We start from the raw sequence: 17,861 nt of genomic DNA, 5'->3' as shown, positions 1-17,861 counted from the left end.
GGAATTTCAGTAAATAGGACATTAACAGTTCCTGTCTCAGAAAGTAATTCTACCTAAAGGAATAGATATCTCCTCTCAGCATGATTCTAGAGAAAAGCGCTTCTACCCTTATGCCCCACCTTTACCCTTCTCAAAACCCACAGTATGGAACCTATTATCCACTTATTCCAATGACAGAAAATCAGGTTCTATTGTGTGGTGATGGTAGGAGGAATGTTCTCTAGAATGCCACAGGCCCCATACGGTATACAAAAGCTTCCAGAATGAATAGATACAACTTTTCCTCAGGACCACACATCTAGATTAATGTTTCTCAAGGTGTATTCTTCCAAACACTTGCTCTCAGAATGTTGAAAGCCATTGTATGGGCCAAAAAAAAAAAAGTTCTGTGGTCATACAAAGTTCATAAACATTTAACTGCAAGACTTTCTAAACAGTTTTTTTTTTTTTTTTTTTTTTGAGACGGACTCTCACTCTGTCGCCCAGGCTGGAGTGCAGTGGCATGATCTCAGCTCACTGCAAGCTCCACCTCCCAGGTTCATGCCATTCTCTTGCCTCAGCCTCCCAAGTAGCTGGGACTAGAGGCACACGCCACCACGCCTGGCTAATTTTGTTTTTGTATTTTTAGTAGAGATGGGGTTTCATCGAGTTAGCCAGGATGGTCTTGATCTCCTGATCTCGTGATCTGCCCGCCTTGTCCTCCCAGAATGCTGGGATTACAGGCGTGAGCCACTGCGCCCAGCCTCTTACAGTTTACTAATGCACACTGTGAATCTCCAAAAGAGAGATATAATATGCCTGATTTCCTAGATACAGTCAATCTCAGAATCTTTTTATAGAGGGAAACTCTATTTATCAGAGGACTAGTATTCTAAAGGATACTCTGAGATCTAGAACACTATTTCTCAATTTTGTTTTGACTGTGACTCCACTAAGAAATACCTTTAAAACTGGAACCCAATAGATATGTATATATAATATAGCAAAAGTTGATAAAACAATATTTACCATTACTAAGTGGTGCCATATATATACAAGTATATATTTATATATTTTATATATAAATAAACTTCATTAAAAAACATATATTTTCTCCTTTTTGTGGAGAACGGGGTCTCATTATATTGTTCAGGCAGGTCTTGAACTCCTGGACTCAAGCTATCCTCCTGCCTCTGCTTCCCTAAAAGCTGGCATTACGGGCGTGAACTTCTGCACCCAGCCACTCCAGTGGCGCCATCTTGGCTCACAGCAACGTCAGCCTCCCAGGTTCAAGCGATTCTCTTGCCTCAGCCCTGCCAGTGGCTGGGACTACAGGCGCATGCCACCATGCCAAGCTAATTTTTGTATTTTTAGTAGAGATGGGGTTTCACCATGTTGGCCAGGATGGTCTCAAACTCTTGACCTCAAGTGATACACCCTCCTCAGCCTCCCAAAGTGCTGGGATTACAGGCATGAGCCACCACGCCCAGCCCCAGCCTATATTTTCTATTCTATTTAAATTTCTTTTTTTGTTGGTAGCATGCCACTAAATTGGTTTTCTACCAATTGAGTTAAAACCCACTTTTCTTTTTAATACTAAAAAATAGAGATAGACTCTTGTTATGTCTTGCCCAGGCTAGTATTGAACTCCTGGGCTCAAGCAATCCTCCCGCCTCAGCCTCCCAAAGTGCTGAGATTACAGGTGTGAGCCATCTCACCCAGCCCCTACCCCACCACCCACCCCCACTTTTTTTTTTTTAATTTTTTGAGACAGGGTCTCACTTTGTCACCTAGGCTGGAGTGCAGTGGCACAATCTCAGCTCACTGAGGCCTTGACCTCCCAGGTTCAAGCAATCCTCCTGCCTCAGCCTCCCAAGTAGCTGGGACTACAGGCACCCATCACCATGCCCAGCTAATTTTTTGTATTTTTGGTAGAGATGAAGTTTTGCCACGTTGCCCAGGCTAGTTTTGAACTCCTGAGCTCAAGCAATTCACCTGCCTTGGCCTCCCAAAGTGCTAGGGTTACAGACATGAGCTACCATGCCCCCAGCCCCACATTTAACAAAACACTAATTTTGACTCTCTTGTGTCTTAGGGATATTAACATATTAATATTATATTATAAGTCACTAAATGAGCCCATGGGGCAAAAGCAGTCTTCATTTTCCACACTTCCCACATACATGGCGCCTTAACACACACATACACACATACACCCACAGTCTGAATGTAAAACTGCCTAAATTAGGAGTCAGTTCAGAGAAAAGATGGAAGCCCAGAAAAAAAAAAAAAAATCAAGATGAGAAGATGCCTCCACCTCAACCCTCAAATTGCTTCTAACTAGGAGATTAGGAGTCAAGCAGATTCCACAAAGAGTTGTTTTGCTTAAATAAGGACAATGTTTTATAGAGAGTGAGTCCTACTGGGTAGCAGTAGTAGGCAGGGATATTCCCTAGAATGCCACAGACCCTATAACATCCTACTCTTTCACTCCTCACTCCCCCATTAGATCTTCTGGCAAGTCAACTATCAAGTTCAGAGGCCAAAAACTGCAGACTGTCACAGAAAACACAAAATCCTGTCCCACACTCACAGCCAGTACTTGCTAGAAGAAAAAATAAAAGCAGACTTAAGGACCCTTAGGTTCTTCACTTCCCTCAACAAAAAGATTACCATCACAGGCAAGAACCAGGGCAGAAAAGCTCTAAGTTCTGCAATTTTATAAAACCTCCCCTCTCTTACCCCCATATTGAGACAAAGACAAATATAGGGCAAGTCTCTGTCTGAGCCAAAATATGAACAGAGGAAGCTGATCAGCTGATTTTCTTTACAGAGCTTTGTTCTGTGGAATAGGAAGTCATTAATGGAAATGTCCTCCCTCTCTACTGCCTCCCCCTCAGGGAAGTAAAAAGTCATTTTAAATCAAACTGAACACTGCCCCAGGGAACAGTTGATACAGACACTTAATTTAATAAGTAATTTAGTCTCTCATTTTTTTTATTCCATTAAACTGTCTATTGGACCAGACTGAAATCCAGAAAGTGCTTGTCTCTAAGGCTATGATTTGGAAGTAATAAAAAGTCAAATTAAGGCAAAAGCATCCATCTGACAGTTGACTCAGATTCAGAAGTAATGAAAATACAGAAAGAACTGAATTTTAATTGCCTTCTTGGAAGCAAAACTAGGGAGACTACAAAATATAAAATCTTTTCTTTTTTTTTTTTTTGAGACTGAGTTTCACTTTTGTCACCCAGGCTAGAGTGCAGTGGCATGATCTTGGCTCACTGCAACCTCTGCCTCCTGGATTCTCCTGCCTCAGCCTCCCAAGTAGCTGGGATTACAGGCACATGCCACCACCCCCAGCTAATTTTTGTATTTTTTTTTTTTTTTTTGAGACGGAATTTCGCTCTTGTTGCCCAGGCTGGATGGAGTACAATGGCATGATCTCAGCTCACTGAAACCTCTGCCTCCCGGGTTCAAGCAAGTCTCCTGCCTCAGCCTCCCGAGTAGCTGGGATTACAGGCATGTGCCACCATGCCCGGCTAATTTTGTATTTTTAGTAGAGACAGCGTTTCTCCATGTTGGTAAGGCTGGTCTCGAACTCCCGGCCTCAGATTATCCGCCCGCCTCGGCCTCCCAAAATGCTGAGATTACAGGCGTGAACCACTGTGCCCGCCTATTTTTTTTTTAGATGGGGTCACTCTGTCACCCAGGCTGAAGTGCAGTGGCACAATCTCGGCTCAGTGCAACCTCCGCCTCCCAGGCTCATTCGATCCTCCCACCTCAGCCTTACGGGTAGCTGGGACCACAGGCGCACACCACCATACCTGGCTAATTTTAGAAACCAGTTTTGAGCAGACGATGAGGTCACATAGGAGGCAACATGGACAGTTTCCAATCTATTAAATGATTCCTGCCATGTGCAGTGGCTCGCGCCTGTAATCCCAGCACTTTGGGAAGCCAAGAGTTCAAGACCAGGCTGGCCAACATGGTGAAACCCCATCTCTACTAAAAAATACAAAAAAAAAAAAATTTGCTGGGTGTGGTGGCAGGCACCTGTAAGGCTGGCCAACATGGCAAAATCCCGTCTCTACTAAAAATACCAAAAAAAAAAAAAAATTAGCTGGCCGTGGTTGTGGGCACCTGTAATCTCAGCTACTTGGGAGGCTAAGGCAGGAGAATCACTTGAACCTGGGAGGTGGAGGTTGCAGTGAGCTGAGATTGCACCATTGCACTCCAGCCTGGGCAATGGAGCAAGACTCTGTCTCAAAAAAAAAAAAAAAAAAAAAAGATTCCTAACCTCAATATTGAAACCTGGAATTCTTGGCACCCAGTTTCTATTAAAGTTGGCCCAATTCTGTCCAACATCTCAAAACAGAAATGCAATATAATGTGTAGATAAGAAAAGGTAATCTATTTGAGTCCTGTCAGAAGCACTACTCTGGGTCAACAGGAACGGAAGAATGAAAGCAGCAACAATGGTTATCTAGCTCATAACTGAATCCCCAGTGTCTACAACAGTACCTGACACATAAATAGGTACCAATTAATATTTATGTCATAAACATGCATTCTATGCCTTCAGGGATCTCTTTTAAATATCCCTCTTAAAAATGAAGAGTTCAGCAGGGCACAGTGGCTCACGTCTGTAATCCTAGCACTTTGGGAAGCTGAGAGGGGTGGATCACAAGGTCAGGAGTTTGAGACCAGCCTGGCTAACATGGGGAAACCCCATCTCTACTAAAAATACAAAAAATTAGCCGGGCGTGGTGGGAGGCGCCTGTAGTCCCAGCTGCTCGGGAGGTTGGGGCAGGAGAATCTCTTGAACCCAAGAGGTGGAGTTTGCAGTGACCCAAGATCGCGCCAACTGCACCCCAGCCTGGGAGACAGAGCGAGACTTTGTCTCAAAAAATAAAATTAAATTAAATTAAAAAAGGAAGAGTTCCCAATGAGACCCTGCAAGTATCTGTGAGGCCTATACCATTGCTCAGCTACACCACCAGCAGGACTGCCAGGTAACACACAGGGGAACTTGTGAACTTGTCTGGCTTTCCCCAAGAGGACTCTGAGTCACAACTAACCTTAAGAACAGCACTAGCTGGGCGCGGTGGCTCACGCCTATAATCCTAGCACTTTGGGAAGCTTAGGCAGGCGGATCACTTAAGGCCAGGAGTTTGAGACCAGCCTGGCCAACATGGTGAAACCCCATCTCTACTAAAAATACAAAAACCAGGAGTGGTGGCATGCGTCTATAACGCCAACTACTTAAGAGGCTGAGGCACAGGAATCTCTTGAACCCAGGAGGCAGAAGTTGCAGTGAGCTGAGATCGCACCACTGCACTCCAGCCTGGGCAATAGAGCGAGACTCCACTCTTGGGAAAAAAAAAAAAGAACAGCACTAAACCCAGTAATGAAGGAAAGAATCCTCCCAGTCTCCCCACTCCCTTCACAGAGAAAATGTGCAAATCCCGAATTAACTTACCAAGTGTCGGATCCCATTCCAGGTATGATACATGAGAGGGAAGACAAGTGCAAACTTAGCTGTGTGGATCAGTGCTGGCCCCAGACACAGGGACTTCACAAGTTCCAAATAAGACTCAAAGTTCCCAGGGAGTAACAGGGCCGACATGCCAAAAAGAGAGACCCCTGAGGAGAAAACCAAGTAGCTTGTCACAGCTGCTCATAAGTTACAACTAATATGATACATAAAACTGGGACCCCTGGCACCTCATACAATTCTAAACCATTTTGAAATGGAGAAGATTTTTGTTTTCTTTTTTTCTTGAGACAGAGTCTCATTCTGTCACCCAGGCTGGAGTATAGTGGTGCAATCTTGGCTCACTGCAACCTCCACCTCCCAAGTTCAAGCGAGTCTCCTGCTTCAGCCTCCTGAGTAGTGGGGATGACAGGTGCCCACCACAACGCCCAGCTAATTTTTGTATTTTTAGTAGAGACAGGGTTTCACCAAGTTGGCCAGGCTGGTCTCGAACTCCTGACCTCAAGTGATCTGCCCACCTTTGCCTCCCAAAGTGCTGAGATTACAGGTGTGAGCCACTGCACCCGGCCTTGAAAAGGAGAAGATTTAAACTCATGTTCAAGTTTATGATGGGAGACAGACTACTTGGGATCTCATCATAAACTAAATGTGCCATATGTTTTAGTATGTTATTCCTCCTTTCAACATCCGTCTCTATAAAAACTTCACTTGCCAGTTTAGACATCAAGCCTTGCTATATCATCTAGTTCATCATCTAACTAAGAAAAGGTAAAAACAGTGTACTCAGTCCAGAGAAGAGTCAGAAAAAAAATTAGGTTCTCTTTTTTTTTTTTTTTTTTTTGAGACAGAGTCTCGCTCTGTTGCCCAGGCTAGAGTGCAGTAAGCGTGATCTCAGCTCACTGCAACCTCCGCCTCCTGGGTTCAAGCCATTCTTGTGCCTCAGCCTCCCAGGTAGCTGGCCTTATAGATGCATGCCACCATGCCTCGCTAATTTTTGCATTTTTAGTAGAGACAGGGTTTTGCCATGTTGGCCAGGCTGGTCTCAAACTCCTGGCCTCAAGTGATTCGCCCACCTCAGCCTCCCAAAGCGCTGGGATTACCAGCATGAGCCACTGCGCCTGGCCCTTTTTTTATCTTTATCTTCTAGTGTTGCTACCTCTGAAGAGAGGAAAAATTTTAAATCATTCAAATCTCTATTACACAAAAATTTAAATTAAAATGAATTAGAGACCTAAATGCTAGAACTAAAACTATAAAACTCTTAGTAGAAAGCATAGAAATAAATCTTCATGATCTTGGATTAGGCAGTGGTTTCACAGATGACACCAAAATCATAAATGACAAAAGAAAAAACAGATGAATTGGATTTCATCAAAATTACTAACTTTTGTGCTGCAAATAATACCATCAAGAAAGTGAAAAGACAACTCAAAGGAATGGGAGAAAATATTTGCAAATCATGGAGGACTTTTATCCAGAATACATAAAAAACTCTTACAACTCAATCAATAAAATGACAAATGGATCTGAATAGACATCTTTCCAAGGACGATAAATAAATGGCCAATCAGTGCATGAACAGGTGCTTAACATCATTAGCCATTAGACAAATGCAAATCAAAACCATAATGATATAATGTAACTGCTATGTGTATATACTTGGAAGATTATTTCCCTATGTGAAAGAAAAAGTATGAATATTTTAATGTCTGACAGGGCTGCATTATCTGTTGGAGCTCAGTGGCTATCGACCACCAATGACTGAGAAATCAAGTATAACAAATATGAAACTCAAATTAGAAATAAGATGTTATCTTGGCTGGCACGGTGGCTCATGCCTGTAATCCCAACACTTTGGGAGGCCAAGGTGGGCAGATTATTTGTGGTGAGGAGTTCAAGACCAGCCTGGGCAACATGGTGAAACCCCATCTCTACTAAAAATACAAAAATGAGCCAGTTGTGGTGGCGCACACCTGTAGTCCCAGCTACTCAGGAGGCTGAGGCAGGAGAAACTCTTGAACCTGGGAGGTGGAGGTTGCAGGAAGCTGAGATCGCACCACTGCACTCCAGCCTGGGCAACAGAGTGAGGCGTGAGGCTCCATCTCAAATGACAAAACACACACACACACACACACACACACACACACACACACACACACACAAAGAAATAAGACATCATCTGTAAAATGGGAATTAAAAAAAAAAAAAGAAAAAAAGAAGAGGCCAGTTGTTTCCCATAATCACCAAAAAATATTTTGGGGAAGCAAAAAAGAGTACCCACATCACAACTCCCAGAGACCCTGATTTGATAGTTTGGGATCATTGCTAGAACTGTGGTTTCCAAACTACACCAAGCTGCCCTGGGGTACCAAAGCAAACTCACAGGTCCTACAGGATATTTTACATATTCAAATGAAACACAGTGATACTTAACATCTGTTGGTCATCATGTGAACCACTACTAGCTCAAGGTAGTTCAGTTTCAACATTAGATGTTAGATTTCTTTCAATGATCACATCTTTGCAAAGCTGGGTTTTCAGCAAAAATGAAGTACTGTGTGAAAATCACTGTGGAACAAGAAATGAGGGTGGCAGTATCCAATCTGATTTCTAAGGTTGGAGGAGTTGTATAATATCCAACAGCATATACATCCTATTAGTAAGTAATTATGATTGGCTGGGTATGGTGGCTCATGCCTGTAATCCTAGCAATTTAGGAGGCTGAGGTGGGAGGATTACTCGGGCCCAGGAATTCAAGACCAGCCTGGGCAACATAATGAGACCCTGTCTCTACTAAAAATAAGACAAAAAATAAAAACAAAAATAAAAAATATTAGCCAGGCACAAAGTGAGCTGTGATTGTGCTACTGCACTCCAGCCCAGGTAACAGAGTGAGATCTTGTTTCAAAAACAAACAAACAAAAAAGTATGATTATTTAAGAATGAAATAAAAATATTTTTTTCTTTCCATTTATGTGGATGATTTTGTTTTTGCTTTTGTTTTTCATAGAGACGGGGTCTTGCTATGTTGCTCAGGCTGGTCTCTAACTCCTGGGCTCAAGCGATCCTTCTGCCTTGGCCTCCCAAAGCACTGGGATTATAGTTGTCAGCCACTGTGCCCAGCCTATGTGGATGATTTTTTTTAAAAAATGTCTACTCAATGGCTAAGAAATAAATAAGCTGTTTGGATCTAACAAACTAATAAAACAAAAGTGTTAGGTATTTACCTTGACTTAGGAGCACCATGAAAATAATTACTGAAGACACTGAGGTAAACCTGAACTCAAACAGTTTGATGAACATTTGGGAGGAAGATATGACTCAAGAGGGTTCAGAGTCTTTGACACTCTGGATAGATGATAAGCTATTATAGAAGACTGCAGGAACCCCTCTTTTGGTAGTTTTGATAGGAAATTCAAAACTATCTTTTGAATTTCAGTGCCAGCACAAAGCTCTGAAACTTCAATAGCCAAATATATGCCTTAGATATCTGGGCAAACTCATCCCTGATCTATGCATCAAATAGGACAACAGGCTCACAGCTGAGTCCCAGGGATGGCCACCCACACCAATATTAACCAACAGAAAACCAGACCCTGATATGGTGTTATCCTAGGATAACACCACCTACTCTCAAATGACCTACGAGAGTCAAAACTCTTGGAAATACTAGGATGTGAATAACAGTGTCTTCAGCTTTTGTTTTCCTATGAATAATACAGAATTATGTCAATTAGTTTAATCAATTCAAAAAGAGAAGACTGCCTCTAAATAAGTCAAATGTTCTCAAAATCATTCTACTACTACATACCCCCACACCAATTTTTTCTTTTTTCTTTTTTTTTCTTTGAGACGGAGTCTCGCTCTGTCGCCCAGACTGGAGTGCGGTGGCACGATCTCAGCTGACTGCAACCTCCGCCTCCCAGGTTCAAGCAATTCTCCTGCCTCAGCCTCCCGAGTAGCTGGGACTACGGGTGTGTGCCACCACGCCCGGCTAATTTTTTTGTATTTTTAGTAGAGACGAGGTTTCACTACATTAGCCAGGCTGGTCTCAAACTCCTGACCTCAGGTGATCCACTCGCCTTGGCCTCCCACCCACCTCGGCCACTTCAGTTTCTTAAGCTCTTAAATGAAGATACTCCTGTTTCTCAGATTATTATGAGGGTTAAATAATTATGTAAATGTTTAGTAAATAATGGCTATAGCAATAGTTGTATTTGAATTAGGTATTTTTCTGATGGGTTGAGTCCTTAAACAAAAAACATAAAATGATACAGTCTCTGGATATACATAGAATACTGGTTATTTCTGACTGGCGGGATTATGGGCAACTTTTCTAAGTATACATTTGTATAATATTTTCATTCTTGGTAATATGTTCTTGTAATCAGGAAAAATTTTTTTTTATACAAATCTCTGGGAGGTCAAGGAGATCTGGGATCATTACCAGATTCCAAGCCAGATATAATCAGGAGAGAGATCATTTTGGCTGGCTGCCTCACTAATTTTCAAAAAAGGCTCTACCTCTTCAAACAGGAATATTAATCAGTTAATTCAATTGAAAGCTACTTTAGCCAAAGCTTTCATCACTACAAGTGAAAAACATATGAGAATTAAATATGAGATTTTCTGAATTCTCCTCTGATGTTCAGTATATTGGGCATCAGGAAACTGACCCCACTCCTAGAATCTGAGTGCCTCAGAGAGTCCTCTAACAGCTGAACAATTTCAATTGGGAAAATAAAGCCACTGAAGCTGTCCTATCTAATCACTGAGAAAAATTAAATAGTGCTTTTTCTTGACTGCCAAGACCAGTTCCTGCTGGATCCACCCCAGTTAAGTCCTATATATGTAACTGTGCGGACTGTCAGCAAGTCCTATTGTCACTTCCAGAAGTCATCATAAGCTCTTTCAGACACTTCTTCCTAGAAAGCCCATGCAGATGTCACAGCAAATGAAAAGAAAACATCTAAAAGAGCCTTCATGAAGCTGTCCAACTGATGATTAAAACTCAGTGTGACAGCACATAACTGTTCTTTTATTTCCAGTGTTGTCACACTAATCTCATCATGATGTATTCTGCCCATCTGCTTCCCCACAACCTCTCTTGAGGTCAAGAGTACTCACGTACTGAGGTAAAGTAAAGCATTTCTGAGAAGCATTTTCTCTTCTGGTAAGAGTTTTGCCAGGTCATCCCAACTTGGTAATGCAAGGACTAAGATGTAGCAGTCAGCAGTTGTGAAATAGGAAGGGCTGAGAAGGACTTGTTTAACTACAAATATCACACATTTTCTGAGAGGTATAAGATTAACTATTCTGATTATTAATGTAAATAATAATCACCACCAAGCCTGTATTAGGAATTTCAAATATAGTATTTAATTTTTATAATCCTTAACAGGCATTATTTTAAGTAGAAAAAGAAATGATGATGTAGCAGAGTGAAAAGTAACTACAAGATCTCTCAAGAGATCTCAAAGATGACAAGAACTCTTGGTGCATTTTCTACAGCCCAAAGCCTACCTTCAGGCTTGTCAAAATTACAAGAGACTAAAGTATAGAAGATAGATGGCAAAACCTCTTCTAATAACCAAAATCCAAGACCCAGAAAGCCAAATTAAAAATTAGCAGATTAGAGCAAATGGAGGAACTAATTTTGACAGAAATGTCATTTAGGCCAAGTTGAGGCTGGATAAACCGGAATCACACGTGCACCACACACACTTCTCCACTGACTGGATAATTTGTGCCTTCCAGGTTCAATGCCTCTCTCCTTTGGACTCTAGAGAATAAACACTGAATATTTGGTTCCTTGGCCTTCTCTTTTTTCCTTTTTTGTTTCTGATTACCCATTTCCCTCTTACTGTCACCACCACTCATCTCATTCTTTGCCCCTCCCAAGAGGCAGGTCAAACCCAAATGCCTAAGGAGCCAAACGGATGTGTGAATCAAGCAGAGTATAAGGCAATTAAGGCCATATAGACTAGTGGTGCTCATAGAAAACTGTTGGAAAGGGGAAGTATGTATGTTCCACCTAAATGCACTCAAATTCCATTTCTTTTCATCACAGCACAAAGAAACAAAGTACATCTGTTGACCAAACATGGCCCACAGGCTGCCAGTTTGTATCCTGAGAAAGAATATAATACTACCAACTGAATTATTGCCTTACTTAATTTCAATCACATTCCGGTCTTATGTCTCTAACACATTTGGGCTATCTTTGATTTTTTTTAAAAAATACCTTTATTGGGTATAATTGAAACATGAAAAAATTGTACATATTTAATGCATATGTTTTTATGAGTCTGGAACTTTTGTTGATGTTTTAAGCTACACTACATTACTCAGTGACATGCATAAACTTTTTCTCAAATGGAGAGCAAATCATATCCACTGTGAAAGAATTTATACTAGTTTTAAGGTCTCTAAATTCTAACTGTTGCCCCCATACACAGCAAAAAGGTATTATCCAGGCTGAGCATGGTGGCTCACGCCTGTAATCCCAGCACTTTGGGAGGCCAAGGTAGGCGGATCACTTGAGCTCAGGAGTTGAGACCAGCCTGGGCAACACTGTGAAACCTCATCTCCATTTTTAAAAAATTGTTTAAAAACGAGGCCGGGTACATGGATCACCCTTGTAAACCTAGCACTTTGGGAGGCCAAGGCAGGTGGATCACCTGTAGTCAGGAGTTCAAGACTAGCCTGGCCAACATGGTGAAACCCCGTCTCTACTAAAAATACAAAATTAACCAGGCATGGTGACGCGTGCCTGTAATCCTAGCTACTGGGAAAGCTGAGGCAGGAGAATCACTTGAACCCAGGAGGTGGAGGTTGCAGTGAGCCGAGATTATGTCACTGCACTCCAGCCTGGGAGACAAGAGCGAAACTTGGTCTCAAAAAAATTTTTTTAAACTAAAGAGAAAAAAAAGGTATTATCCAAATTTGTGGACAAAAATACTGAGGCTTGGTGGCAGGTGTGGTGACAAATAACTTTTTCAAGGTAAGGTCTCACAGTTAGTGACAGAGTTAGAATTGAACTCAGATCTGTCTCATTCCAAAGTGCACTTTTTTCACTTTTTCTACACTCAGTCTGGAATAACCAGGATTTCTAAAGTATAACAGATGATATTTAAGAATCAATAACTAATATCCCATCTCATGACAGAAGAAAAACACAGTCATTTTCAAAGCCCATCAGTTACTTTATGAATCTGTAAATCTTTTGGCTTTTCTAGAGAATAGGCTACCTGCCTGAGCAGCAGGTTTGCCTACAAATTCAGGCAATCTCTCACAAAAGTTCTGATTCTTCCATCTGACCCTGTTTTTATTTTATTTTTTATTTTTATTTATTTTTATTTTTGAGATAAAGTCTCGCTGTCACCCAGGCTAGAGTGCAGTGGCATGATCTCGGCTCACTGCAACCTCTGCCTCCTGGGTTCAAGCGATTCTCGTGCTTCAGTCTCCCAAGTAGCCCACGTTACAGGAATGTGCCACCTACACCCAGCTAATTTTTTATATTTTTAGTAGAGATGGGATTTCGCCATGTTAGCCAGGCTGTTCTCAAACTCCTGGTCTTAAGCAATCCACCTGCCTTGGCCTCTCAAAGTGCGGGGTTTACAAGCGTGAGCCACAGCACCTGGCCTGACTGTTTTTAAAGACTACCCAAAACATGCAGGACCATTCTTATATCCATTCAAGCTAATTGTACAATTCATATACAGATACATGAATATCTGTATATATTGGTTCAAAGCTTAAAATATCTGTTGTTTAGTATCTTTATTCTCTCTTCCTAATCTCATGCTTTATGTTGTATGTTTTATCTTGTTATTTATGATTTCCTAGACTCATTCATTATTGCAACTTCAGCTATCTGCCATTCTCAAGGCATGTACCTAAATTCAACTAGACTTTTATAGGAAAAAGTCAAATAGACTTTTTCTGTCACTATGAAAAATCCTGAGTATTTTTATTTATTTATTTTTGAGACAGAGTCTCGCTCTGTCACCCAGGCTGGAGTGCACTGGTGCGATCCTAGCTCACTGCAACCTCTGCCTTCCAGGTTCAATTCATTCTCCTGGCTCAGTCTCCCAAGTAACTGGGATTATAGCCATGCGCCACCCACAACTGGCTAATTTTTTTTTTTTTTTTTTTTTGGATTTTTAGTAGAGATGGGGTTTCACTATGTTGGCCAGGCTGGTCTCAAACTCCTGATCTCAGGTGATCCACCCGCCTCAGCCTCCCAAAGTGCTGGGATTACAGCCATGAGCTACCGCACCCAGCCCTGAGTATTTTAATCTTTATGGATCCTAAGCAATATAAGAGTGCTATTAGTCTCCTCTTTCAACCTTTCAAAACATTGCAGGCCAGGCGCAGTAGCTCATGCCTGTAATCCCAGTACTTTGGGAGGCAGAGGCAGGCGGATCACTTGAGGTAAGGAGTTCAAGACCAGCCTGGCCAACATGGTGAAATCCCGTCTCTACTAAAAATACAAAAATTAGCCAGGCATGGTGACACATGCCTGTAGTCCCAGCTACCTGGGAGGCTGAAGCAGGAGAATTGCTTGAACCCAGGAGGAGACAGAAGTGCAGTGGGCCACGATGGCACCATTGCACTCCAGCCTGGGCGACAGGGCAAGACTCCATCTCAAAAAAAAACAAACAAACAAAAATTGTCAAGTTTCTTTTTAATAAATTCTATTTTAAAGTCAAACTAGTGTTAACATGCTTTTTAAAATTTATATATTAGCCATAAAATCTCTATAGTTAAAATAAATAACTTATTTTGTATTTATCCAGGAGGCCAGCTTGTCCTGTTACTGGAACAAAAGAGCACATGAACTTTTAATGGCTTTTCATGGTCTACAGCATGGCAGTCAAAGTCCTTCACCATTTGGCCCACTTTCTAGCCTTATCTTCTGTCACTTCTCCCATAAACATCATTCTTTTTTTATTTTTTGAGACAGAGTGTCACTCTGTTGCCAGGCTGGAGTGCAGTGGCGTGATCTCGGCTCACTGCAACCTCCGCCTCCTGGGTTCAAGCAATTCTCCTGCCTCAGCCTCCCAAGTATCTGGGACTACAGGCACATGCCACCATGCCCAGCTAATTTTTGTATTTTTAGTAGAGATGGGGTTTCACCATGTTGGCCAGGATGGTCTTGATCTCTTGACCTTGTGATCCACCTGCCTCGGCCTCCCAAAGTGCTGGGATTACAGGTGTGAGCCACCGCGCCTGGCCCCATAAACACCATTCTTAAGAAACAGACCTCAGCCGGGTGTGGTGGCTCATGCCTGTAATCCCAACACTTCAGGAGGCCGAGGTAGGTGGATCACGAGGTCAGGAGTTCAAGACCAGCCTGGCCAAGATGTTGAAACCCCAACTCTACTAAAAATACAAAAAAAATTAGTTTGGCATGGTGGCAGGTGCCTGTAATCCCAGCTACTCGGAAGGCTGAGGAAGAAAATTTCTCTAACCTGGCAGGCGGAGGTTGCAGTGAGCCGAGATCGTGCCACTGCACTCCAGCCTGGCCGACAGAGCGAGACTCCATCTCAAAAAAAAAGGAAAAAAAGAAACAGACCTCGTCATAATCATCCAATGATCCGGGAGATTTCCAATCCCTATGCCTTTCCATAAAGGAATTTCTCTGTTGGAATGCCCTCCTCTACCTCCTCTTCACAAACTCTCCTGTTCACACTTCTTTCAAGCCTTCTAACTCCCTCAGAGTGCTGTCAACTCTGTGTCCTGAGTTCTGCATCCATGGATTCTGCATCTGTGGATATACAACTAACTGTGGATTGAAAATATTGGGTGGGGGAAATGAATGGTTTTATCTGTACTGAAAACGTACACTTTTTTTTTCTTGTTATTATTCCATAAACAATATAACTATTTACATAGCGTTTACATTGTATTAGGTATTATAAGTAATCTAGAGATAATTTTAAGTATATGATGTACATAGGATATATCCAAATACCACATCCTTTTATATAAGGGACTTGAGTATCTGTAGATTTTGGTATCTGAGGAGGAATCCTGGAACCAATCTCCAACAGATAATAAGGGACAACTGTATTTGTTGGTTTCTCCTCTGGGGTCTCATATCTCTTATTAAAAAGCTATCATGGCCGGGCATGGTGGCTCATACCTGTAATCCCAGCACTTTGGGAGGCCAAAGTGGGCAGAACACCTGAGGTCCGGAGTTCGAGACCAGCCTGACCAACATGGAGAAACCCTGCCTCTACTAAAAATACAAAATTAGCCAGGCGTGGTGGTGCATGCCTGTAATCCCAGCTAGTCGGGAGGCTGAGGCAGGAGAATCACTTGAACCTGGGAGGCAGAGTTGTAGTGAGCTGAGATCGCGCTATTGCACTCCAGTCTGGGCAACAAAAGCGAAACTCTGTCTCGAAAAAAAAAAAAGCTATCACAGTGCATTATAAATATTTGTCTTACTCCTTAGATTCCTCTATCCTTGAGAGTAGAGACTATATATTATCCCTATCTAATTTCTAATGTGTAACAGGAGGTTAATTAGAAGGTGGGAAAAATGAACACTTCTAAGTGACCACTATGAGCAAAGTGATTTACATGGGTATGTTCATTTAGTAAATAAAGATTTTCTAAGCACCTATTGAGTGCTAGAGGGTATGAATGGTAAATAAGATAGATAGAGTATCCACTCTTTGAAGACTTTACAGTCTAATAAAAGACGCAGATTTGGCTGGGCGTGGTGGCTCACGCCTGTAATCCCAACACTTTGGGAGGCTGAGGCGGGCAGATTCCTTGAGGTCAGGAGTTTGAGACCAGCCTGGCCAAATAGTGAGACCCTGTCTCTACTAAAAATACAAACATTAGCCGTGCATGGTAGTGGGTGCCTGTAATCCCAGCTACCCGGGAGGCTGAGGCAGAAGAATTGCTTGAACCTTGGAGGCAGAGGCTGCAGTGAGCTGAGATCGCGCCACTGCACTCCAGCCTGGGCAACAGAGCAAGACTCCGTCTCAAAAAAAACAAAAAACAAAACAAAAAAACCCAGATTTATAAAAAGTTAGCAAATAAAATAATTACAACTGCCAGGCGCAGTGGCTCAAGCCTGTAATCCCAACACTTTGGGAGGCCGAGGCGGGCGGATCACAAGGTCAGGAGATCGAGACCATCCTGGCTAACATGGTGAAACCCTGTCTCTACTAAAAATACAAAAAATTAGCCAGGCGTGGTGGCAGGCGCCTGTAGTCCCAGCTGCTGGGGAGGCTGAGGCAGGAGAATGGCGTGAACCCGGGAGGTGGAGGTTGCAGTGAGCTGAGATCGCGCCACTACATTATAGCCTGGGCAGAAAAGCGAGACTCTGTCTCAAAAATAAAATAAAATAAAATAATTACAACTTGTGTAATAAAAGCTTTGAAAGAAACAACACAGCACAATAAGAACTATGAAGGAATAGAGTACTGTAAAACAGATGTAAGGAAGCTTGTACTTTAAATATGGTGGTAAGCAAAGTGCTCTTTGAGTTAACATTTTGCTAAGATGTAAAGGATAAGAAAGAACTAACCAAGCACAGTGCAGCAAGAGGTCAGGGTGGGCATTTCAGACTAAAGAAACAAAACATGCAATGCCTCTCAGGTAGGAAATAATTTTGCCTGTTCCAATGAGTTCAAACACCAGTGTGGCTGGAGCACAGTAAGCAAAGGGAGGAATGGCAGGAATGAGTTAGGGAAGAGCCAGAGCTGGCAGGGCAAAGGTGGATATTTGAATTTTAATCTAAGTGCTAAAGTGAACACAGTCATTAGGAGAGTCTAAGGAAGGGAGTGACATGATTCCATTTATTTTCAAAAGATTTTTCTTGCTGTTGTGTGAAAAATGGATGGGACTAGGGCCACAAGAATGCAAAGACCACAGTTGCTGGAACTGACTTCATTTCAGAACAAATGATCCAATTTCTCTTGCCATTCGGTCCAGGGCACATTATCTTCTAAGAGACAGTTGTTATTAAAGGTATCATGTTTTTCATCCTTGTTTCCATAAAGCAAAACCCAGAGCATAAAGTTTCTTGAAATCCCATGAATTCTGAGATAGGCATTATTAATATGCCCATTTTATAAGGAATAAGCTGAGGTTTAGAGAACTGAGTAATTTGCTTAAGTCATCCACCTGGCAAAAACCTATTCCTTTACGATTTTGATGGAGGGACCTTCAACATTTGAAGAAAATGCTGTAGTTATACTTAACTTCTACTCTATAGAAAACAGCTACTATATTCTATCATGGAACTAGGAGAGAGGAAAAACAGGACATATGCTGATGAATGCAAGGCCACCATTCAAAGGGGTAAAGACAGAAAAAAAACAACTTTTTTCTTTTTTTTTTCTTTTTTTTGAGATAGGGTCTT

General features: G+C 42.0%; 1 protein-coding gene across 13 annotated transcripts in view, besides 1 other annotated feature; it reads right to left on the bottom strand.

Annotated features, from left to right (window-relative positions):
- The window catches only part of SDHC (succinate dehydrogenase complex subunit C), a 48,826-nt gene that overhangs the window by 905 nt on the left and 30,060 nt on the right, over window positions 1-17,861 (bottom strand). For 10 of the 13 annotated variants that reach the window (NR_103459.3, NM_001407119.1, NM_001407120.1 and 7 more), the window contains one exon: window positions 5,462-5,625. The exons of the other annotated variants lie outside the window; for them this stretch is intronic. Coding sequence is in view for 9 of the 10 variants with exons in the window: in NM_001407119.1 (NP_001394048.1) it covers window positions 5,462-5,625 (164 nt within the window). In the remaining variant the exon portion in view is untranslated. The remainder of the gene's footprint in view (window positions 1-5,461; window positions 5,626-17,861) is intronic. 13 annotated transcript variants of the gene reach the window in all.
- Window positions 5,393-5,591: a silencer, noted in NCBI's record as "fragment chr1:161326501-161326699 (GRCh37/hg19 assembly coordinates)". NCBI's record gives its function as "represses an EF-1alpha promoter that drives an FKBP-Casp9 reporter gene in an ReSE screen in K562 erythroleukemia cells {active_cell/tissue: K562}" and the evidence as "EXISTENCE:reporter gene assay evidence [ECO:0000049][PMID:32094911]".

Source organism: Homo sapiens, chromosome 1 (genome assembly GCF_000001405.40).
Source record: "Homo sapiens chromosome 1, GRCh38.p14 Primary Assembly".
Classification (NCBI taxonomy): Eukaryota; Metazoa; Chordata; class Mammalia; order Primates; family Hominidae; genus Homo; species Homo sapiens.
This window is presented reverse-complemented; position numbering and strand designations above follow the sequence as displayed.